Source organism: Homo sapiens, chromosome 14, assembly GCF_000001405.40.
Source record: "Homo sapiens chromosome 14, GRCh38.p14 Primary Assembly".
Lineage (NCBI taxonomy): Eukaryota > Metazoa > Chordata > Mammalia > Primates > Hominidae > Homo > Homo sapiens.
In genome coordinates, this window is record NC_000014.9 from 20,400,066 (window position 1) to 20,423,587 (window position 23,522).

The window sequence follows — 23,522 nt, forward strand, 5'->3', positions numbered from 1 at the left end:
GGCAGAAGTTGCAGTGAGCCAAGATTGCGCCATTGCATTCCGGCCTGGGCAAAAAGAGCAAAACTCCGTCTCAAAAAAAAAAAAAAAAAAAAAAAAAGAATTATCTACATATACCGGCTTCTATCCAGGCCCCTTTATTCTACTCCACCCCAAGTGGTTTCAACCATCAGGGAAGAAGAGGCTGTCAACTGGGGGCAGGTGTGTGTGTGTATGTGTGTTTGTGTGTGGGTGCGTGTGTGTGTGTGTGCAGTGGCTCATGCCTATAATTCCAGCACTTTGGGAGGCCAAGGTAGGAGAAATGCTTGAGGCCATGAGTTTGAGACCAGCCTGGGCAACATTACAAAGACCTTGTCTCTAAAATTTAAAAAGAAAAGTAATAATTTTATAAAGTAAAAAACGAAAGAAAGAGCCTGCTATAGGTAAAAGTAGACCAAAAAAAAAAAAAAAAAAAAAAAAACAGAGAAAGAGAAAACTGAAGATAACTTGATCCTCCTCTATTTGACTTTTTTTTTTTCTGTATCAATGTGGGCAAATTACCTAAAACTTCCATGTCCTAAATACAATATGAGGTTCTGTACAGATTCCAATATGCCATGTGCCAGTCCTACCTTTTTTGGAATGAGTTACAGAGATATCGATATGAGTACAATGAGAGAGAAGGTACTTTTGTCATATGTTGATAAAAACTTGTACATCACCTAACTACATCTGGTATAATGATCTATGATGCCAACATTACTCAAAGCAGGTACCACTGTTTACTTTGGTGTAGTCAATGGCAGACCTTATAAATCAAATACAACAACCAGGCAAAGTAATAACTTCATCATTCCACAGAAATCTTCTAGTGAGGATCTAAAATGTGGAGGCATAAATGGGGAAGAGAAGGAGGGAATGTGATGGTCAAGGTCACTCTACCAATGAGTTCCTCCCAGACCGACGCTTTGTTCCCCCGTAGGCTCAGCTCCCGCTCCCAGGTCTCTGGCCTAGACAGCTTCATCCTCTTCCCAGCTCTGCTAGAATCCCAAGGCCCAGGAAGGCGACTTCGAGAAAAGAGCTGTAGGTTGGAGGGGTATCTGAGGATAGGTAAGAAAGAGGTCTATCATTTCAGAGTCAGCAAGAAAATAACTCAGAAAAGGAAAGGTGAGTCATGTTTACAGGGCATGTCTGCCCAAATATGCCTAAAAATAACTCAGAAAAGGAAAGGTGAGTCATGTTTACAGGTGAGTCAGAAAAGGAAAGGCAGCAATTGGAAAGGCAGTCATGTCTACAGGGCATGTCTGTCTAAAGTCATGTTGCTGGGTTTGAGAACTACTGGGATGGGGGCCACGGATGTTGAAAAGTTAAGGAATTACTTAGATGGAATGCATGCTCAGGGTGCAGCTTCTCACCTGTAACCCAGCAGGGCTTGAACGTGCTGGGCAGGCTTGTGGATGTGCAGTCGCTGAACCAGCTTCTTCAGGGTGAACCTTGGAGGATTCTTTTTCTCTGACACTGTATCACCGGCCTTCTCAAACTGTGGAAACATCCCCAAGTCCCACAGGGGTCCTTTCATCCATGACCATGGGAACTTTCTTCAATAAAGCAGATTGTAAGACCATCCGATCCCTATGTGGTAATTTCTTTCTTCAAAATAGATTTGGCCAAGGAGCAGGAATAGAGGGTACAAATCTCTGGCAACAAGAGCTCCCATGGTAAGCAGCACAGGATGGCAACTCTTTGGGGTCACTGTTTCATTCACACAAGCAGTTAACATGGGTTGACTGGCTTGTGAGAAACAAGGTGGGGATAGAATGAACACAGGACAGCTTTGTTTGTAGAGGAGGGGAAAGGGAAAATCAGCTCCGATTTAAATCACTAAGACTCTTAATAGATAAATAGAGAAACGAGCACAATGCAGGCTACGAGGAGTTTAAAAACTAAAAGTAGGCAGGGCGTGGTGGCTCATGCCTATAAACCTAACACTTTGGGAGGCCAAGGCAGGTGGATCATTTGAATCCCAGCTACTCGGGAGGGAGGAGTAGGAGGTCAGGAGTTTGAGACCAGTCTGACCAACATGGTGAAACCCCGTCTCTACTAAAACTACAAAAAAATTAGCTGGGCATGGTGGTGGATGTCTGTACTCCCAGCTACTCGGGAGGCTGAGGCAGGAGAATTGCTTGAACCCAGGAGGTGGGGATTGCAGTAAGCCAAGACAGCACCACTGCACTCCAGCCTGGGCTACAGAGCAAGACTTCGTCTCAAAAATAAATAAATAAATAAAAACTAAAAGCAGGTAGCTTTCAGCATCTTCTATGGCAGAAGAACTAAATTTAGGATATATTAATAGGATGAAGAGAAAAGACGAGTTGACCAACTGAGAAAGCGTTTTTTCTTATAACGCTAATATATATTTTCCTAATCATCTGTTTTAATAACGATGATGGTAGTGATAGCTAACACTTATTTACTTCCAGGAATTGTTAGAAATACTTTAAATATAGTAACTTATTTAATCTTTATGACAACCTAACAATGTAGGTTCTGCTTTTATTCCCATTTAATACGTGAGAAAACTGAGGCAAGAGAGGTTAAATCATTTGACCAATGTCTCATAGCCAGTAAGGGGTGGATGGAAGATTCAAAGCCGGGTGACGTGAATCCAGATTCTATGCTCTTAAATGCTACGTACAATACCTTATTTGTCCAAAAGTAAAAAGATTTTGTTTGGTTTGTTTTTAAAACTTCCTGTGAAAGGTATATATTTCATAATGTTTTTAACTCACTTATCCAACTTTACTGACATGTCACCCGGCAGTAAAGTACAATACCAGCTGGGTGTGGTGGCTCACATCTGTAATTCCAGCACTTTGGGAGGTCAAGGCAGGTGGATCACGAGGTCAGGAGTTCGAGACCAGCCTGGCCAACATGGTGAAACCCCATCTCTACTAAAAACACAAAAATTAGCCAAGCGTGGTGGCACACGCCTGTAGTCCCAGCTATTCAGGAGGCTGAGGCAGGAGAATCGCTTGAGCCTGTGAGGTGGAGGTTGTAGTGAGCCAAGACCGTGCCACTGCAGCTCTCCAGCCTGGGCCACAGTGCATAACTTCATCTCAAAAAAAAAAAAAAAAAAAAAATACAATACCAAGGAGAGTGAAGTGAAAAAAAATAAAACCACATGCCTTTCCCAGTGCTCTCAGAACCTTACCCACAATCACAGCCAAGAATCCCCAGGAAGAAAGTATTTTCAACCCTAATAGAATTTTGTTCGTAAATATTAGTCCAGAAGAGATTGTACATGCACATATACAACCCCAGAAGAAGGGACTCACCTTTCTCTGCTCTTCTCTGAGAAACCCTATGTACCTTGGAAAACATCTGTGAGAAAATGGAGGCTCCATCCCCTGTAGGGACAGGAGAAGCAATTTCAAAAAAAGGGAACTGGCTGTCCTTGAAGAGATCCAGTCAATAGCCCTGAAGGTGCATCTCTACCAAAAAGGAAGCCAACTAGAAAAGAAGACTGCCCTGCACCATATGCCCATGAGCTCTACCCAGCTCCCCTGCATTTCTCTGACTCCCTTTGCTCCTGGTGTGGGACTCCCCAGCATCAGCATGCTCCCTTGTCCTGCCCTTCCTGGAGAAAAGGGGCGTGGGTCGAGGGCTGGGGCAGTGACTGACTGGAGAGCGGGGTGGCCGGCGGGGGTGTCTCTTGGCCCGGTGCTTCCGAGGGTTGTACTTAGCCAGCTGGTACTCGTCAAACTGGGCAAATTTGTCCGTCATGGCAGTACGGAGACAGGCGGGCAGGGGCACCAGCTTATTCTTATCTCCCTCAGCCAGGCTCTGTCAAAGAGAGAGGAGAGACCACTAGAAGCAAGACCCAAACCAACCCTCCAAAACAAAACGAGATCACTTCATGGAGATACACGAGAGCACAGAGTAGCGAGCAAGTTCCCAGCCCTAGCTCCAAAATCACAATTTCTGTGGTACTGATTTTCATTTCTTCATTAGAAACATGAGGTCCTGGCTGGGCAGGGTGGCTCACCTTTACGCCTGTAATCCCAGCACTTAGGGAGGCCAAGGCCAGTGGATCACCTGAGGTCAGGCGTTCAAGACCAGCCTGGCCATCATGGTGAAACCCCATCACTACTAACAATATAAAAATTAGCCAGGCGTGGTGGCGCACGCCTGTAATCCCAGCTACTTGGGAGGCTGAGGAAGGAGAATCGCTTGAACCTGGGAGGCGGAGGTTGCAGTGAGCCGAGATCACGCCATTGTACTCCAGCCTGGGCGACAAGAGTGAAACTCCGTCTCCAAAAAAAAAAAAAAAAAGCATGAGGTCCAGAATAAGACCATTTTTTTTTCTCAAACTTTGGTCCAGCCCTTCTCAATCACATTCTCCATGCTGGACAACCCAGCCTAGTGGAGGGAGAAGCTGTCCTGTCTGGGCACCAATGCTGAGGAAAGCTGAGGGGAAACCAAATTGCCTGAGAATTTTCTCCAAGGATGCAGTGAGCATAAGAGAAGGAATGAAGTGAAGGCCCAAGCTCAGGGAAATGAGCACCATACCTGGTAAAGCTCAGCCACCTGGATCCAGTCAGAAGGCAGCTGGACAATGGCACAGAAATATCGTCGCAGGTGGGGGCGACACGCCGGCAAGAAAGCAGCAATGGCCAAGATGTTATTGGCCACATTCCGGACGTTCAGCTGCTGCCTGGCATACAAAGATGCCTAGGACACAGGGTGAGAGGACTAGAATCTCAGTCACTCCTCCCGTAGCTTTCTGCCCTGAAATTACTTGCTGATTGAGTGTGCCTGTATAAAACCTTTCCTGAGCCCTCCACGTTGTCCACAAAATACGAAGCCCAGGCCACCTGACTTGGCATTCTAAGTCCTCCATACTCTATCCCTTACTCAACTTTCCAGCATGTCTTCTTCTGAGTCTACTGACTGCCTTGCAAGTCAACCAGGCCTTTTCCTTCTTTGGAAGACCTCCTGCATCAACAGCTATCAAAAATTTATTCTGGGTTCAAATCATTGATTAAACCTGCCATTTTCCAAAGCATCATAGAAGATATTTCCCACCGCGCTCTTCTTTGCTTCAGAAATGTTCACTATCTAATATTCCAGCTGTATTTGTATGATATTTGGAAAAGTATTTTGCTTCCCTAACAATACTATAAGCTCCTTGAGAGAATGGGTACTTACTAAACAAACCAAGTCTAGTATACTCTTTCCCCACTCTTCACTGAACCACAGGGACTAGGCCGCAGACTCACCCAGAAATCCTTCCTAAGAGAAGCTCCTCCCACCCCCAACATGAAGCTAGTCACCACCCCGCCACACACCATAACCACACTCCCAGTCTACCAGCTTCACACCCCCATCCCCTCCTTCACACCTCAATACCTTGAGGATAAACTCAGGCTCCAGGAGGGCAAGTTCACGACAGATTTCAAAAATGGCAGCCAGGGTGGGGTCAGATGTATTGTTCATGTTTACTTCTGAGACCAGAGTAGAGCACAGCAAGCTCAGTAGAGCCATCTGGGAATTGAGAAAGAGGGAAGAAATGAGAAGAGAGGTAACAAGGACCAACTTAAGCATCCATGCAGACTAACTTACAAAGTCAAGGACAGAGAGAATGGACCCGAGATGTGGAGTCCAGTTGAGAACTTACAAAAGGGGATTAGGGCCAGGCATGGTGGCTCACATCTGTAATCCCAGCACTCTGGGAGACTGAGGTGGGCAGACCACCTGAGGTCAGGAGTTCGAGAGCAGCCTGGCCAACATGGCGAAATCCCATCCCTACTGAAGATACAAAAATTAGCCAGGCATGGCAGTGCACGCCTGTAATTCCAGCTACTCAGGAGGCTGAGGCAGGAGAATAATGAATTCAGGAGGCAGAGGTTGCAATGAGCTGAGATTATGCCATTGCACTCCAACCTAGGTGACAGAGTGAGACTCCATCTCAAAAAAAAAAAAAAAGAAAAGGAAAAGAGAGAAAGAAAGGAAAGAAAAAAAGAAAAGGAAAATAAAAGAAAAAAGAAAAGGGGATTAGGAAGTGAGAAATAAGAGCTAGGTTGTATCCCTACCTTCCCCTTCCAACTGGGGAGGGGACCTGGTTCAAGTACTCCACCACCAACCTCCCCTCCACACCATTATTAACCTTCCCCTAACTCTTGAATTTTTACCTTCTTTTCCTGAAGGACATGGTCAGTAGGCTCTGGATGAGATTCAGAGTCTCCAGAGGTGAGCTTCACGGCCAGATCCTCCACCTCCTCCTCCTCTCCCAAGCTCAGACTATAAGAAGGCATTTGGGTCTCTGCCCCTTTCTTCTCTTCTGAATCAAACCAACGACCCTGGGGTAGTAGTGGCAGTTATGAATCACAGCAGGTATCCACAGCCCCTCAAAGCCAGATGGATCTGAAGGCAGCACCAGGCCACGGGAAAAGTCTACATCTCCATTAATAGCACCTCTAATGTTCTCTCCCTTCACACACCAGCACTGATGTGTCCTGTCTGACTTACTGCTCTCACACACCACCTTGCTCTACTCAACCTTCAGAGCCTTCGCCCACATGCTTCATGATCTGCCCCTGCTTTCATCTCTTCATTGGCGTCACAACCTGGGAGCATGGGGCTCTTCACACACCTTTTAGGATATTAGTAAGATGTTTTGGGGGTCAGAAGAAAAAGGGCAAAGCCCCATATTAATCCCCCAGCAGCCTTGGGCTGCTTAACCTCTCTGAACCTCAGCTTTCTCTCATTCACTACCACCTATCTGATAGGGCCACTGGGAAATTAAATGGAGTGTTATATGTATGTATGACTCTTTGCAAAATGCAAAGCCCTAAATCAATGTAAGATGGCAGCAGTTGTAATCCTGATAACAACCCTGTGAAGTAGATTTTCATTAAATTCATTTTAAAGGCGAGGAAATTAAAGCTCTAAAGGGTTAAGAGGTTGCCCAAGGTTGCATAGTTTGTAATTGGCAGAGACAGAAGAGGGTTCAGATTAGCCTTGTCCCTCAACCCGAAACACAAGTATATACAGAAGCAATGTGTGTCTTTCTAGTGATTCTGAACTGTATACTAAATGTAGGCATGTAGATGTGTAAAAGTGGACGTGTATTTGCACATGCACAGACAATTAAGTGGTCTCTGGTACAGGCCCTGATAGGGCTGTTGGAAAATTAATTAGCAGATGTATCTCATGCCTGATCTCAAAAGCACCTAACTGACTCTGCTATAGTAACATTAAGCTGGCTCACCTGAACAGAGGCTTCCTAAGGACAGGGACTGTTTTTTGTTGTGTCTTTTGGGCTTTCATTTTTTTGAGACACAGTCTCTCTCTGTTGCCCAGATTGGAGTGCAGTGACACAATCTCGCCTCCCGGTTTAAGCAATTCTCGTGCCTCAGCCTCCCAAATAGCTGGGATTACAGATGCGTGCCACCACACCTGGCTAATTTTTGTATTTTTGGTAGAGACGGGGTTTCACCATGTTGCCCAGGCTGGTCTCGAACTCCTGGACTCAAGTGATCCGCCCGCCTTGGCCTCCCAAAGTGCTGGGATTACAGGCATGAGCCACCGCACCCAGCCAGGACAGGAATTGTTTTTGATCTATTGCACAATATCTCCAATGTAGATATGCAATAAAAGTAATGATGCCAGTGAAGATGGTCCTGCAACAAAAGGCACCTTAGGAGAGGCTCTGAGGAGAGAAGATAGCCAGACACAGAGCAGCACAGAGGGAAACTGAGACACTGAAAGCTAGAGACAAGAGCATACAACAGACATGGCTGGAGTCAAGATGAGTGCCTGGAGCTATTACCAAAGTTGCTTCCTGAGCTGTCTCTGTGGCAGAGATGGATTTCAGGGCTATAGGGCAGGTTGAAAGGTCTAGTCCCTTAGAGAAATGCTGAGCCCTCCAACTTGGAGGCTCAGAGAGCAGGCAATTGCTGTTGTTCACACGGTACAAATCAGCTTGCGTCATGTGAGATATCTGTAGACTCTGGAACAAGGGGCTGGCAGACACAGTGCTCTTTAGACTAGAGAGGGTGGCCAGGCACCGGTTCTCCAAGGAGAGGATGTCTGGGTGGGCAGAAACATGTCCATGTGGTTTCTCCATGGTCTTCAGGTCAGAAAGTGTGGCCAGGCACTGGTTCTCCAAGGAGAGGATGTCTGGGTGGGCAGACACATATCCATGTGGTTTTTCCATGGTCTTCAGGTCAGGAAGCGTGGCTAGGCACTGGTTCTTCAAGGAGAGGATATCTGAGTGGGTAGATACATGCTGATGTAGTTTCTCCAAGGGCTGTAAGTCAGGGAGCATAGCCAGGCACCGGTTCTCCAAGGAGAGGATGTCTGGATGGGCAGACACATGCCCATGGAGTTTTTCCATGGCTGAAACTCAGCTTGTATATGCCTAGAAGGAGAGAAAGACAGGAGATGAGCACCTGGCTGCACTGAGCGTGTATTTGCATGAGAGCATATCTTCCCCACAGCCCTCCTGATAATGCCAATGATTTGTGGGTAGAAAACAACCAATGTTGTTTTTCCCAGGACTGGGTTCATCCAGAGAATATTCTAAGAGAGAGGGATAGGGAAAAGGTAAGGCAGAGGCTTAAGAGCAGAGAAATTAAGAAAAGGCCAGGTGCAGTGGCTCATGCCTGTAATCCCAACACTTTGGGAGCTGAGGCAAGAGGATTCCTTGAGCCCAAGAGTTTGAGGCAAGCCTGGGCAACACGGTGAAACCTCATCTCTACAAAGTTTTAAAAAATAAAAAATATTTCTTAAAAAAAAAAACAACAAAAAGGAATGGCTGGAGAGGAAGGGACATGCCTTCTCATAAGAAGGTAAAGGAGACCCAACCCCCCTGACCCCCGCTGCAGGACTATCAGTTTGATCCCTACTTAGTAGAGAGGCCTCGCAATATAATCTGGACTGTGGGTTCATAGCTCCAGAGAAACAGGTACTTTAATCAAGTTGTCAATATTCACCACCCCAGCTTCCTTGCCTCCTATTCACTCTTTAACCAACTAAATGGGATTCTGTCCCCACCAGTCCACAAGTCCTCTTAGGTAACCAAGGAACTTTTTCTTACTCCCATAAATAAATATATCTTGGCCTTTATCTTATTTCACCCCTCAAGTAGAATATGACATTGTTGATTACTCTCTCATTAAAACTCTCTCTTCCTTTGCTTTCCATGATGCTACTGTCCTGATTTTCTTCTTAAAACTATTCTGACTAGATCTTCTGAGGGATTCTTTCTCTGCCATTTCTTAACATCAATGCTCCTTGCAGTTCTATTCTAATCCTTTTACATACTTTCCTGGAGTGGTCTCACCCACTATGTGGCTCCAAATGACATTTCTATGCTGGCGACTCACAGATCTATTCCTGGACCTAGATCTCCCTTCTGAGCTTCATATTCACTTATCCATTTCCCCGTTGGACATCCCCACTGGATGACTCAAAGGTGCTCCAAATTCCACAGATCCTAAATGTATCATCTTTCTCCTTCTCATATCTCTGCCCCAAATCCATTCCCCTTCCTTTGCCCCCTTTGCCCACTGGAGTTGGAAGTGAGACAGACTTTACTTTGAATCCTCCTTTACCTTGGGATCTTGGTTGGATAAGATACTTAAATTCTCTGTGTCTCTAGGGTTTTCTCATTTATAAAATTAAGAAAAATGCTGGCCGGGCGCGGTGGCTCACGCCTGTAATCCCAGCACTTTGGGAGGCCGAGGCGGGCGGATCACAAGGTCAGGAGATCGAGACCATCCTGGCTAACACAGTGAAACCCCATCTCTACTAAAAAAATACAAAAAATTAGCCAGGCAGGGTGGCGGGCACCTGTAGTCCCAGCTACTCGGGAGGCTGAGGCAGGAGAATGGCGTGAACCAGGGAGGCGGAGCTTGCAGTGAGCCCAGATTGGCCACTGCACTCCAGCCTGGGCGACAGAGCAAGACTCTGTCTCAAAAAAAAAAAAAAAAAAAAAAAAAAAAAAAAAAAATGCCTACCTCACAGAGTTGTTATAGAAATAAATGAGAAAAAAATATTAGGCACTTTGAGCATTGCCTGGCACTAAGTGTTCAATATAGAAGCTATTATTATTTGTTATTATTATCCAGTAAACTACTAAATTCTATTGATTCTACTCCCTCAGTGTCTCTCAGATCTATCCAATTCTCTCCATTCCTCCTACCACCACCTTTGTTGAAACCCTCTAATCCATGTGGTGACATACTGTATATAGATTTGTCTAAAGGACCTCCCTGCTAGAGCCAGATGTGGTAGCCTGCAATCCCAGTGACTCTCAGAGGCTGAGGCAGGAGGATCACTTGAGCCCAGGAGTTTAAAACCAGCCTGAGCTACATAGTGAGACTCCTTTTTTTTTGAGACAGAGTCTTGCTCTGTCACCCAGGCTGGAGTGCAATGGCACGATCTTGGCTCACTGCAACCTCCGCCTCCCAGGTTCAATCCATTCTCCTGCCTCAGCCTCCCGAGTAGCTGGAATTACAGGCGCCCGCCACTATGCCCAGCTGATTTTTTTTTCTTTTTTTTTTTTTGTATTTTTAGTAAGAGACAGGGTTCCACTATGCTGGCCAGGCTGGTCTCGAACTCCTGACCTTGTGATCCACCCACCTTGGCCTCCCAAAGTGCTGGGATTACAGGTGTGAGCCACTGTGCCTGGCGGACTCCTTTTTTTTTAAGCATGTTTGCTTATTAGCCCACTTGCTAATTGTTTCTCCTTTGTGGTTTTTTTTTTTTTTTTTTTTTTTTTGCTTTTTGTTTTTTGAAACGGAGTCTCACTCTATTGCTGGCTGGAGTGCAGTCGCACAGTCTCAGCTCACTGCAACCTCGACTTCCCGGGTTCAAGTAATTCTCCTGCCTCAGCCCCCCAAGTAGCTGGGATTACAAGTGCCTGCCACCACACCCAGCTAATTTTTGTATTTGTAGTAGAGACAGGGTTTCACCATGTTCATCAGGATGGTCTCAATCTCCCGACCTCATGATCCACCCACCTCAGCCTCCCAAAGTGCTAGGATTACAGGCGTGAGCCACCGCACCCAGCCTAATTGTTTCTCTTTACTGAAATACAACTCCTTAAGGTAAGGGCTCCTTTGTCTTGCTCCCCTCTGCATCTTCAGCATCATACACAAAACCCGACTTCCGGTCACCTCCCAGCATCATCTCTCACTAACACCCCGATCTAACCCTCAGCACTCTAAGCTTCAATCATACAAATTTTATTTAGCTTATTAATTGCCAAGGTATCTCTTGACTACGGGCCTGTGCACAGGCAGATCCCTGGAACACTCTTTCTTCTACCAATACCACCCCTCCTTTACAAGGCCAAATGCTACTTTCCTCTCACTCTACAGACTTCAGTTTCATCAACTCCTCCAAAAAGCCTGTGCTGACACCAAGCCCCAGTCTGATTTAGGTGGCCTTCTCCTTGTTTTCACAACACCCATATGTCCCCTATCATAGAGCACATCACCTGTTTGTCTTTCTTCCCAATAGACCATTAAGTTCCTGAGGAGAGAGACCCTTTTAGCCTTGTTCCCACAATTGCTGGTCAGCGGGATTCAGAGGCTTTTGAGAATCTGGTAAAAGCTATGGAGCTTTTTCACAGAAAAAAAAAAAGTATATACTGTTTTGTGCTCAATTTTCAGAGTGTCTATGAAGCCCATTTATGGACCTCCCAGGATCTCCATAAACTGAAAATTAGAAACCTCTGCCTAACAGAATGCTTGAATTATACCATCAGGAACCTATTTTCTGGCTGGGTGTGGTGGCTCACACCTGTAATCCTAGCATTTTGGGAGGCTGAGGTGGGAGAATCACTTGAGGTCAGGAGTTCAAGACCAGCCTGGGCAACATAGTGAGACCTCTATTTAAAAAAAAAAAGGAATGTATTTTCTTACTTATTTGGACAAAGGCTAATCTCTCATTCATATGTAAATATTTTGGGAATAATATTGTTAAGTCAACCACCTAAACTTAGTGTGAAAAAGCTTAGGGACAAAAGTACAGAACACTTCCAAGAAGACCTGAATGACTAACAATCCAGGGCCAAAAAGGACAACAATATCTCACTGGACGTCAGTGTGACAAACACGTAAAAAATGATGGCTTCTGTGCCCAATACACTTTGCTCATGTCGTTGCCCTATATAAGCCCCCAAGGAAAGGAGTGGGGAAACTCAGAATTGACTCAGATTTTTTTTAAAAGAGATCTCAAGCCAAAAATAAACAGAAAAATAAGGACAGTTTATTTGAGCAACATAGTGAGACTGTCCTATCCTTAAAAGGACAGTCTCACTATTTTGCTCATTTTATTGTTTTGCACCCTGGAGTTTTTGAAAGGAGATTCGGCTGAACCACAAATGGAAAGTTAAAGTTCCGTCCCCACTTCCATCTCTAGTTCCCTTCTCTGGAAGTAAACATTGCTCACAGTTTTATACTAACAGTTTCACAGTTTCTATGCATATGCAAATACATGCCTTCACCATCACCACTGCTTTTGCTTTTGCTTTACACAAACAGGATCATAAGTTAGATGCTATTCTGCACTTAGTATATCTCAGAGACCTTGCCCTGTTAACACATTAATACCCACCTCACTCTTTCCTTTTTTTTTTTTTTTTTTTTTTGAGGCGGAGTCTGGCTCTGTTGTTCAGCTCACTGCAATCTCTGCCTGCCGAGTTCAAGCGATTCTCCTGCCTTAGCCTTCCGAGTAACTGGGATTACAGGCGCCCACCACCATGCCCGGCTAATTTTTTTGTATTTTCAGTAGAGAGGGTTTTCACCATGTTGGTCAGGCTGGTCTCAAACTCCTGACCTCAGGTGATCCCCAACCTCCGCCTCCCAAAGTGCTGGGATTACAGGCGTGAACCACCGCGCCCGGCCTCCACCTCACTCTTCAAGTGGCTGTATGGTAGTCTAGCACATTTAAGCACAGTCTGGGTTTCTATTATCACAAACGGTTCTCATACTACCATTTGTTGGTGACAGCCACTGTCCCCTTTCGATGGGCACACAGGGCAAGGAAGTAAGAGGGGATGATTCTTACGTGGTCTCTCTTCCTGTCCCTCCCTCTCCTTCAGCCTTCTCCTCCTCCTTTCTCACCTCCCCTTTCACGCAGTATACACTCCCTCCCCTTCCCGGAGCCGCCGGGAGGAGCAGGGTGGATGCACCCCTAGCTGAGTCTCGGGTGGTTCCTAACCGGCCCCGCCAGGCACTTCCCACCCAGCTCTCAGCCTCAGAGCCCAGCGCCCTAGACCCAGGGCCAGGGCAAGTTCTGCCTGCGCTCGGACCCTACCTTAGACTGGGGCTGGAAACCCTGGGTGCCTGACCTGGGGCGTCCGATTCCCGCAGCAGGAAGCAGAAACTTCGCTCTGGATTCTGCCGGTGGGAAGGGTGGCAGCCGGGGGAGGAGCCGGATGCGGATCTGAGAAGAGACGGTGCGGGCGGAGACTCTCGGGCCCGGGCGGGGCGCAGCAGCTGCTGGAAGGGCAGCGAGCCGAGGGCCGGGCAAGACGACATGCCAGGGCTGCGACGCGAATGCCCAGGACCCCTGCCGCCTTTTCTGGGGCCCGAGTTTAGTTTGTTATTGTTTCTATTTTTTTTCCCTTTCTGGTCCTATTTTCTCCTGTCCCTAGGGCTTCCCCCTCTACCAAATTCGTCTCCTCTGGCTAATTTTCGTCTTTTTTTCTCCCATTAACTCTTCAAACACCGTTTCCTGGAAAAGATTTTAGCATGCTCGCTGCCTAGCTGTACACCTCTCCTTCCTAATATCAAAGACGGTCAGACTCAATTCATCCTAAAGTTCCTTTGAGGAACTCCTTAAAAGGAGACGGAAAGCGGAAAGCAACCGCCTGTAACCAAGTGTAGACATCAGTCAATCAAAGTTCGCTGAACTGAGAGCAAGTGCCTCCCCTCCTGTTGATCAGAAGAGAGATCCGTGGATCACACAGAATCTATCTGGAGCCATCCTGAATGATTAATGCTGAACCCTTTCCAGGAAGATGGAACCAGGCTTAGGAAAGAGACAAGTGACCCTTAGGTTAATAATCCTAGCTTCATAAAGAGAGGACCAAACATAGTAGCAGGAGAAATATGCTTTCTGCCTTTATATAAAGCAGATTAGCTGTCTTCTGGAAAATATCATTGCTTTCCTTAGAGAGGTACCCTTGAGTCTCAGGTAACAGCTGAGCTTCCGCTCAGAATTGAGGGCATTCTGTCCTCTATTAACTGAGCCAGTACCCCTTTCCTTCCTTAGAAACCTCTATTGCCACCAGTCCCAACACTCCCTGCAATGGTCTTTATGTTTGTGTCTCCCCAAAATTTATATATTGAAACCCTAATCCCAATGCGATGGTATTTAGGGTGGGATCTCTGGGAGGTCATTAGGTCATGGAGTTTAGAATACTCATAAATGGGATTGGTGGCCTCATAAGGAGAGACGGAAGAGCTAGCTAGCTCTTTTTCCACGATATGAGGATACAAGAAAACAGCCATCTGCAATCCCAAGGAAGACCCTCATCTTCAGAGGCAGACCATGCTGGCAATCTGATCTTGGACTTCCATTCTCTAGAACTGTGAGAAATAATATTTGTTGTTTAAGCCACCCGGTCTACGGTAATTTGTTATAGCAACCTGAACTAAAACATTTCCTTTTTATAACAAATATTTTAAAGCTCTTTTTATTTTTCTGAAACATAATTCGTAAAGAATGTAACTTACCCCCACGCACAATTTTAAACCAAAATTTAAAGACAAAAAGTAGAGACAGGGTTTTGCTATGTTGCCCAGGCTCTCTACCTCCAGGGCTCAAATAGTCCTCCTACCTTGGCCTCCCAAAGTGCTTGGATTACAGGCATAAGCCACCATGCCTGGCCAAAAAATTAGTAAAATCTCTTAAAGAGATATAAAGGAGTCTACGGCCATACCACCCCGAACGCGCCCGATCTCCTCTGATCTTGGAAGCTGAGCAGGGTTGGGCTTGGTTAGTACTTGGATGGGAGATAAAAGGAATACTAGAAAGAATATGACTTATAATTAAATACTATATGTTTAGATATGTAAATGTTTGTGTATAACATTCAAGAAGACACAATGTGGTACTCAGATATATGCATCTGTATATAAAATCACCTGGAATGTAACAGCTACAAATGCAGAATGATACAGGCATTATAATGGCGATTCAAATACCATGAACAGAATTACTGATGTGGTATGATTTTCCAGAATACTAAATAGCTTTTGGCAGATTTTCAAACAAAACAAGGTATGATCATCCCATGATTTTCATGGTAGTTGCATCCCTGGAAAGTTCAGTGTGTATTAAAACTACGCATAAAATGCCTTGTGTTTATATTTAAAATTAAATTATGGTCAGGCACGGTGGCTCACGCCTGTAATCCCAGCACTTTGGGAGGCCAAGGTGGGCAGATTACCTGAGGTCAGGAGTTTGAGACCAGCCTGGCCAACATGGTGAAACCTTGTCTCCACCAAAAATACAAAAATTAGCCGGGCATGGTGGTGGCCGCCTGTAATCCCAGCTACTTGGGAGACTGAGGCAGGAGAATGGCTTGAACCCAGGAGGTGGAGGTTGCAGGGAGCCGAGACCACACCACTGCACTCCAGCCTGGGTGACAAGAGCAAAACTCCGACTCAAAAAAAAAATAAAAAAATTAAGTTAGATCCTAATTAAAACAAGTTTTCAGCTACATGAATGACTGGCAAGTTATTCAAAGTTAAAGATGCGGAAATGTCACTCATTGTGTGGTAGTGTCCTAAACAGTTCCTGAATGTTGAGCTATCCTGGGCCCTACCCATTTAAATGTGTAAAATCATCCTAATTATTGTGAAAGCCAAAAACACCCCCTAGAGGGCAGTACCACTCACATCGAAAACCTTCATTAGTGGTCTGTTTAGAGGAGAAAGAGAGGAGTTTGGTGAGGGAACACAAGAGCTAGGAAACCTGAAAGAAAGGGTTACGTGAGGTGACTACAGTGGGAGCATATTGAGGAGAAGGAAGTGAGGGGAGGGATTGAAGGAGTCCACACAGGGCCTTTCTTCTGAAGGCCAGCTTTATAAGGCCTCTTCCCCATAGAATATGCCTTAGATAATAATCCCAACCTCAAGACCTCGTAGTCTGTGACTCTCTGTGGGAAACACCTGCCCCACCAGTGAAAGAACAGCATATGCAAGCCCTTCCATCATATTCCCATAAATATCAGACCTGAGAAGACTGGCAATACAGGAGGGAAGGCAATTGGTGATGGCTTCCTGATTGGCTTTGAGGATCTAGTTTTACTTTCTGGTTTCCTGAAGCAGCAAAGAGATTCAAGGCCAGCAAGGCTTGTACACTGGAACTACCTGGAGATCTTTTAAAAATTCCAAAGTCCAGGCCACACCCCAGACCAATTAAATCGCAATCACCCAGAGTAGGACCCAGGCATCAGTAGTTTTTGAAGTTTCCTAGGTGCTATGGTCTGAATATGTCCCCCAAAATTCATGTTGAAACTCAATCTGCGATGTGATAATATTAAGGGTTGGGGTCTTTAGGAGGGATTAAGTCGTGAGAGCAGAGCCCTTATGAATGGAGTTTGCAGCCTTATAAAAGGGCTAGAAGAAACCAGCAATCACTCCTTTGTTTGCCCTTCCACCTTCTGCCATGAGAAGATGCAGCAAGAAGGTATGTTCTCACCAGACACCAAATGCTAGTGCCTTGATCTTGGACTTCCCCAGCCTCCAGAATTATGAGAAATAAATTTCTATTATCTATAAAATTACCCAGTCTCAGGTATTTTGGTATAGCAGCACCAGTGGATGGAGACATCAGGTGATACTAATGTGCAGAAAAGTTTAGGAACCTCTGCTCGAGGGTCTCACTAATCAAAGTATGGGATTGTGGACCACAACATCAACATCACCTTGTTAGAAATGCAGACTCTCAGGCTCTACCCCAGATCTACTGAATCAGAATCTTTTAACAATATTTTCAGGTTATTCCCACTCACATTAAAGTTTGAGAAACACTGATCCAGACAAGTGGGGTGGAACCTGAGAATCTATATTTCCAAACACTGTGGTCAGGGCCCAGTGATTTGTATTTTAACAAGCTGTCCGGTTGGTTTTGGTACATGCTTAAATTTAAGAACCCCTGATTAGGCAGGGTGTGGTGGCTCATGCCTATAATCCCAGCACTTTGGGAGGCTAAGCGGGCAGATCACTTGAGCTCAGGAGTTTGAGACCAGCCTGGGCAACATGGTGAAACCCTGTCTCTATAAAAGATGCCAAAAAAAAAAAAAAAAATTAGCTAGGCATGGTGGCCCACACCTGTAGTCCTTGCTACTTCTGGAGCTGAGGCAGGAGGATTGCTTAAGTCCAGGAAGTCGAGGCGGCAGTGAGCTGTGTTCGTGCCCTGGCAACCTGGGTGACAAAGCAAGACCCTGTCTCAAAAAAAAAAAAAAGCTCTGATTAAAACGAAGATTGTTGCTCATCTCTTTTGAAAATTTCTGATTCAGTAGGTAGGTCTGAGATGGAACCTGAGAATTTGCACTTCCAGCAATTTCTCAGGTAATCATGACTCTTATCTCTGATCTGAGGTAAACATTTAAAAAACTATTAATCTAGGATGATTACCTAAACAGAAGCGATAGTTACTACCTACCACATGGCAGAGGTAGGTAGTAAATAATGCACCTGTCACACTTGAATTGCATATATAAATTAAAAATTTGGCCCAATTCCCAGATGTTCTGTTCCAATCACACAGCCACTGAATGATCCCTAAAGGACATTTCAGCTGTGTTTTGAGGAGCCAGATAAACTATCTCTGCCTTGCAACAGAGAAAACCTTTCAACTGGCAAGATGTTCACAATGTTCAAATTCAGCTTTTCATACCCGTAGGAAGTGCTAATCATATTGCCAATATTTGCTTCTTTGAGTCATGCTTTCCTAAGTTAGCCATTCCCTTGAGTTGAACCAATCTTTCTTCAGATGACTATCATTAGAATAAATCAGGAGTTTTGCCAATCAAATAACTATACCAGGGCTGGGAAGATGTGCCATTTCCCACTGGAATGAAATCACTTAACTCTCACAGAACCATCTTACATTCCTTATTTGCAAGTTCTTAAAGGACCATTCACTTTCTCCTGCATATAGGCCAACACCACCTTACTGTTGATTAGTAGCATTGAGCTGCGATGGCCAACTGATGGGTGTAATATCCAGATTTGTCTCTGGGACAAAGGAGTGCCACCCCCTCAGTCTTCCCTTTTGGGAAGGGTCCTACCACCTGTTAAAATTGCTCACTTGTGGTCAGTTTTCTTGCATGTTCATTGTCCTCCTCTACTTTGATCAACAAACATCTGCTAATCCCCTGTCAAAGAATAGTGCTAGTACATGGGTAAAATGTATACAACATGCCTTCTTCTCAAGACTTCATCATCTTGTAGAGATAGACACATGTAGAAATCACAAAAATACAAGGCAGATAAAGAGAAGTGCTATAATGGACTAAGAGACAAACTATAGGGTTATATAGGTGAGAGCAAGGATCTCAAGCAACTCCCTGGAGAGATGGACTTTGAACTGGGAAGGGCAGGCCTCTGATAAGCTGGGAGGGGAGTGACCAGTAGGAAGTGGAAAGGCCATTGGTTTTACCTGATTTTTTTCTTCTTTGTGAATGATTACCTTTAGATTCACAGTATACGTTTGTTTGACCTAACCATCACAACTTAAAGCATCACACAAGCCGTGATATGTGGACAAGCACACACTTACTGGATAGCCACTTGTCACCTCAGACAAGCCCTTCTGGGCCATCTGAAAGCAGATTACAAGAACCTCAGTGTCTTCTCCCTTCTGACTCTTCTGAATCAAAACAACCCTGCATTTGGCCTCTGGTCTGTGGACATTTGCCAATATCTTTCTTCATCTTTCTTTTTTTTTTCTTTTTGAGGCAGAGTCTTGCTGTGTCGCCCAGGCTGGAGTGCAGTGGCACGATGTCGGTTCACTACAACCTCTGCCTCCTGGGTTCAAGCAATTCTCCTGCCTCAGCCTCCCAAGTAGCTGGGATTACAGGCACCCACCGCCATGCCCAGCTCATTGTTTGTATTTTTAGTAGAGACAAGGTTTCACCATCTTGGCCAGGCTGGTCTCAAACTCCTGACCTCAGGTGATCCGCCCACCTCAACTTCCCAAACTGCTGGGATTACAGACATGAGCCACCATGCCCGACCTCTTTCTTCATCTTTCTTCAAGGACATTCCTCACTGACTAGTCTCCCTAATCGGGTATGGTAATTAAAATAGGCCACAAATTCTTTGCTTCCTCTCCCATTGAGAGGCAGAGTCTAATTCCTTCTTGAAACTGGGCTGACCTGGTCACTTGCTTGACCAATATAATGTGGCAGCAGTTGCATTCTGGGACTTCTGAAGCTAGGTCAAAGGAAACTTGCACTTCCTCCAGGACTCTGGAACACTCCCTTGGGAAGCCCTGAGCTGCCATGTGAGTCCAACTACCGTAAGACTGCCACTCTAAAGAGGCCACATGTAGGTGTTTCAATTAACACACTCAACTGAGCTCAGCCTTCTAGCCATCTCCACCAGGGCACCAGACATGTGCCCTGTCTGGTGCCCTAGTGGAGAAAGAAGCAGTCTTAAGTCCCTCAGACCAGTTCATCTACCAATTGTCTATTATCAAGTAACTTCCACTAATGACACATGAAACAGAAGAATCATCTAGTGGAAGCCTGCCTAAATTTAGTGAAGTCAGTTACACATAAAATTGTGAGATATGATTAAATGGTTGTTGTTTTAAGTCACAAAGTTTTGGGCAGCAAATGATAACTGGTACACTAGGCCTGCAAAACATAAGACAGTTTACATCAGGGTACTCTGTAATCATCCTACTTTTTTTTTTTTTTTTTTTTTGAGACAAAAACAGTACACCTGATCCCGAAAAGGATTTGAGTCCTGCTTTTGGATGGGATGAGGCAGAGGTAATTGGAAGTAAACTTTGGATCTCAAAATAGTGAACTTGGTGCCGGGCACAGTGGCTCACACCTGTAATGCCAGCACTTTGGAAGGCAGAGGCAGGCAGATCACCTGAGGTCAGGAGTTCAAGACCAGCCTGGCCAACATGGTAAAACCTCGTCTGTACTAAAAATACAAAATTAGCCGGGTGTGGGGGCGTGCACCTGTAATCCCAGCTACTTGGGAGGCTGAGACTGGAGAATTGCTTGAACCTGGGAGGTGGAGGTTGCAGTGAGCCAAGATCACGCCACTGCACTCCAGCCTAGGCAACAAGAGTGAAACTCCGTGTCAAAAAAAAAATGAAAAAGAAAAAAAAGGCCGGGCATGGTGGCTCATGCCTGTAATCCCAACACTTTGGGAGGCCGAGGTGGGCGGATCCCAAGGTCAAGAGATCAAGACCATCCTGGCCAACATGGTGAAACACCATCTCTACTAAAAATACAAAAACTAGCTGGGCATGGTGGCATGCGCCTGTAGTCCCAGCTACTCGAGAGGCTGAGACAGGAGAATTGCTTGAACCTGGGAACGCGGAGGTTGCAGTGAGCTGAGATTGTGCCACTGCACTCCAGCCTGGTGACAGAGAGAGATTCCGTCCCAAAAAAAAAAAAAAATAGTGAACTTGGAACATTTTAATGACTTGTAGGAAGAATTTAAAAAATAGGGGAATTCAGATAATCAGGGAAGAACTGGAGTACTTGGCTGCAATCCAAGATATGGGTGAAGATAGTATATTACATATATATATATATATATATATATATATATATATATTTTTTTTTTTTTTTTTTTTTTTTTTTTTTTGAGATGGAATTTTGCTTTTGTTGCCCAGGCTGGAGTGCAGTGGCATAATCTCGGCTCACTGCAACCTCTGCCTCCTGGTTTCAAGCAATTCTCCTGCCTCAGCCTCCCAAGTAGCTGGGATTACAGGCACCTGCCACCACCGCTGGCTAATTTTTTGTCTTTTTAGTAGAGACAAGGTTTCACCATGTTGTCCTGGCTGGCCTTGAACTCCTGACCTCAGGTGATCCGCCTACCTCTGCCTCCCAAAGTGCTGGGATTACAGGAGTGAGCCACCACACCCAGCCAGATAATATATTATATATTAAATATGGTTGTTTAAACATGAACTCTGGAGTCCAACAGATCTGGGTTTATTTTTTATTTTTTTATTTTTATTTTTTGAGACAAAGGTCTTGAAACATGTGCCACCACACCTGGTCCAATGGATCTGTGTTTAAATCCTCCTCTGCTACTGACTAGCAGTGTGACCTAAGCTGTAGAAGAAAATAAGGTTAATAATCTCAACCCTCAAAGGGGCCAGAGAGTGGTCCTTGAGTCTGCAGTAAGATCACATGATGCTGATTTGGCAAAGGGGTCAGGCTAGGTTCTCCGTTTGAAAAGTCTCACCTCCTGTCTCATTTTCATAACAATCCCCAGCTCAATACATCCTAATAAGTGAAAAAAACTGCTGGAAGGAAGAACCCACTGCCCCTTTCTCTGGCTGAGCGTCTTTTAAATTCACAGCTATTTGCATTACAGCAATTGGATGTTAATTTTTCAAGACCATGTCTCCAAACCTCCAGTGGCACTTATACTCGCTCATTGCTCCCACTTGTAGAGCCCATGTATGAGTTTCATGGATAAAGCTTGCCACTCAAGTGGAGATGGAGCTACATTAGAGAGGGGGCATAATAAAGTCCTTCTACCAGTTTAAATACATGCTCAACATTTACAAACTCCTCTAATCTTCCAGTTTTCTCATCTATAAAGTGGGAATAATAATAGCACCCGCTTTTTATGGACTGTATTGTCATTCAAATTAGATAATATACATAAAGCACTTAGCATACCACCTGGCATATAGCTAGCACAAACAATGATAACTATAATCTAAAACAAGCAGTTCTAGGCTGGGCACAGTGGCTCACACCTGTAATCCCAGCACTTTGGGAGGCTGAGGCAGGTGGATCACCTGAGGTCGGGAGTTCAAGACTAGCTTGGACAAGATGGTAAAATCCCATCTCTACTAAAAATACAAAAATTAGCCAGGCATAGTGGCAGACTGCTGTAATCCCAGCTACTCTGGAGGCTGAGGCAGGAGAATCACTTGAATCTGGGAGGCGGAGGTTGCAGTGACCCAAGATCGCACCACTGCACTCCAGCCTGGGCGACAGAGTGAGACTCTGTCTCAAAAAAATAAAAAATAAAACAAGCAGTTCTTACTCTGCAATGAAAGAGTTGGCTTTCATCAGTGACAGCTTGCTTGAAAAGTGTGTATTGGGGCTCAGATTGCCTACCTGGCAATTAGTCAAACTGATATATAGGCCGGGCGCGGTGGCTCACTCTTGTAATCCCAGCACTTTGGGAGGCTGAGGCGGGCAGATCACTTGAGGTCAGGAGTTCAAGACCAGCCTGGCCAACATGGTGAAACCCTGTCTCTACTAAAAATACAAAAATTAGCCGGGCATGTGCCTATAATCCCAGCTACTCGGGAGGCTGAGGTAGGAGAATCACTTGAACCCAGAAAGTGGAGTTTGCAGTGAGCGGAGACTGCGCCACTGCTCTCCAGCCTGGGAGACAGAGCAAGACTCTGTCTCAAACAAAACAAAACAAAACACCAACTAACTGATACATAGCTCTCTAACTATATGCCTTGGCCTCATTTGGAATCCAGATGAATCTGCTTCCCTGTCTCAGGAGTACATCAGGCTGGAGTAGCTTATAACCTTCTGTACGGTACTCGTGGTCTCAGGAGCCTGTCACTACGGTATACTGGCCTCCTTGTTTGGCATCATTTAGCTCTCTGATCTAAAAGGATATGTCCTAGGAACTTGATTTATAGATTACCAAGGCACACTTTTCCAAATGTGCCTAGAGGTCCTTAGGACTGTCCCAAGCTCTGGGGTTCATGAGCTATAATAACACTGTGGTGTTTACAATACCATTATGGTGCTTATTTTATGGGGTACGAACTTGGAATTCAAACTGGTTAAAGGACTTACTCATAATTACCAAAGCAACAATTGAATTGAAACTTGAAGCCAAGTTACTGAATCTAGCTCAGTACACTTTCAAGGCTATACGTTTTTTTTGTCATTCTTCTAATACTGTATTTGTCTGTTCTCACATTACTATAAAGAAATACCCTAGACTGGGTAATTTATAAAGAAAAGAGGTTTAATTGTCTCATGGTTCTGCAGGCTATACAGGAAGCATGGCAGCATCTGCTTCTGGGGAGGCCTCAGGAAGTTTTCAATTATGGAAGAAGGCAAAGGAGGCGTGAAACGTCTTACATGGCAGGAGCAGGAGCAAGAAAGAGAGTGAGGCAGAAGGTGCTACACACTTGTAAACAACAAGTTCTCACGAAAACTCACTACCAGAAGAACACCACCAAGGGAATGGGGCTAAACCCACCATGGAAACCACTCCCATGACCCATCACCTCCCACCAGGCCCCACCTCTGACACTGGGGATTACAATTT

General features: G+C 45.1%; 1 protein-coding gene and 1 pseudogene across 8 annotated transcripts in view, besides 5 other annotated features; one reads left to right on the plus strand and one right to left on the minus strand.

Moving 5' to 3' along the window:
• TEP1 (telomerase associated protein 1) overlaps positions 1-13,436 on the minus strand; it is a 47,835-nt gene extending 34,399 nt beyond the window's left edge. For 4 of the 8 annotated variants that reach the window (XR_007064043.1, XM_005268027.6, XM_047431734.1 and 1 more), the window contains exons 1-9: positions 13,306-13,436; positions 7,808-8,398; positions 6,168-6,335; positions 5,386-5,520; positions 4,546-4,707; positions 3,658-3,819; positions 3,312-3,383; positions 1,392-1,516; positions 919-1,076 (exon numbers count right to left, since the gene is read on the minus strand). Coding sequence is in view for 6 of the 8 variants with exons in the window: in XM_005268027.6 (XP_005268084.1) it covers positions 919-1,076; positions 1,392-1,516; positions 3,312-3,383; positions 3,658-3,819; positions 4,546-4,707; positions 5,386-5,520; positions 6,168-6,335; positions 7,808-8,374 (1,549 nt within the window). In the remaining 2 variants the exon portion in view is untranslated. Of the gene's footprint in view, positions 1-918; positions 1,077-1,391; positions 1,517-3,311; positions 3,384-3,657; positions 3,820-4,545; positions 4,708-5,385; positions 5,521-6,167; positions 6,336-7,246; positions 8,399-13,305 lie in introns of those variants that run through there. The other 4 variants (NM_007110.5, XM_047431733.1, NM_001319035.2 and 1 more) reach the window with 4 other exon arrangements.
• Positions 564-1,763: an enhancer, noted in NCBI's record as "CDK7 strongly-dependent group 2 enhancer chr14:20868788-20869987 (GRCh37/hg19 assembly coordinates)". NCBI's record gives its function as "activates an origin of replication core promoter dependent on BRD2, BRD4, P300/CBP, MED14 and CDK7 cofactors, with strong dependence on CDK7, by STARR-seq in HCT116 cells {active_cell/tissue: HCT116}" and the evidence as "EXISTENCE:reporter gene assay evidence [ECO:0000049][PMID:35650434]".
• Positions 12,274-13,190: an enhancer, noted in NCBI's record as "H3K27ac hESC enhancer chr14:20880498-20881414 (GRCh37/hg19 assembly coordinates)". NCBI's record gives its function as "activates a minimal SCP1, AML or CMV promoter by ChIP-STARR-seq in naive H9 embryonic stem cells {active_cell/tissue: H9 hESC(naive)}" and the evidence as "EXISTENCE:reporter gene assay evidence [ECO:0000049][PMID:30033119]".
• Positions 12,300-12,469: an enhancer, noted in NCBI's record as "active region_8071". NCBI's record gives its function as "activates an Ori minimal core promoter by ATAC-STARR-seq in GM12878 lymphoblastoid cells {active_cell/tissue: GM12878}" and the evidence as "EXISTENCE:reporter gene assay evidence [ECO:0000049][PMID:35858748]".
• Positions 13,020-13,089: an enhancer, noted in NCBI's record as "active region_8072". NCBI's record gives its function as "activates an Ori minimal core promoter by ATAC-STARR-seq in GM12878 lymphoblastoid cells {active_cell/tissue: GM12878}" and the evidence as "EXISTENCE:reporter gene assay evidence [ECO:0000049][PMID:35858748]".
• Positions 13,590-13,639: an enhancer, noted in NCBI's record as "active region_8073". NCBI's record gives its function as "activates an Ori minimal core promoter by ATAC-STARR-seq in GM12878 lymphoblastoid cells {active_cell/tissue: GM12878}" and the evidence as "EXISTENCE:reporter gene assay evidence [ECO:0000049][PMID:35858748]".
• Positions 14,922-15,033, plus strand: RNA5SP382 (RNA, 5S ribosomal pseudogene 382; annotated as a pseudogene).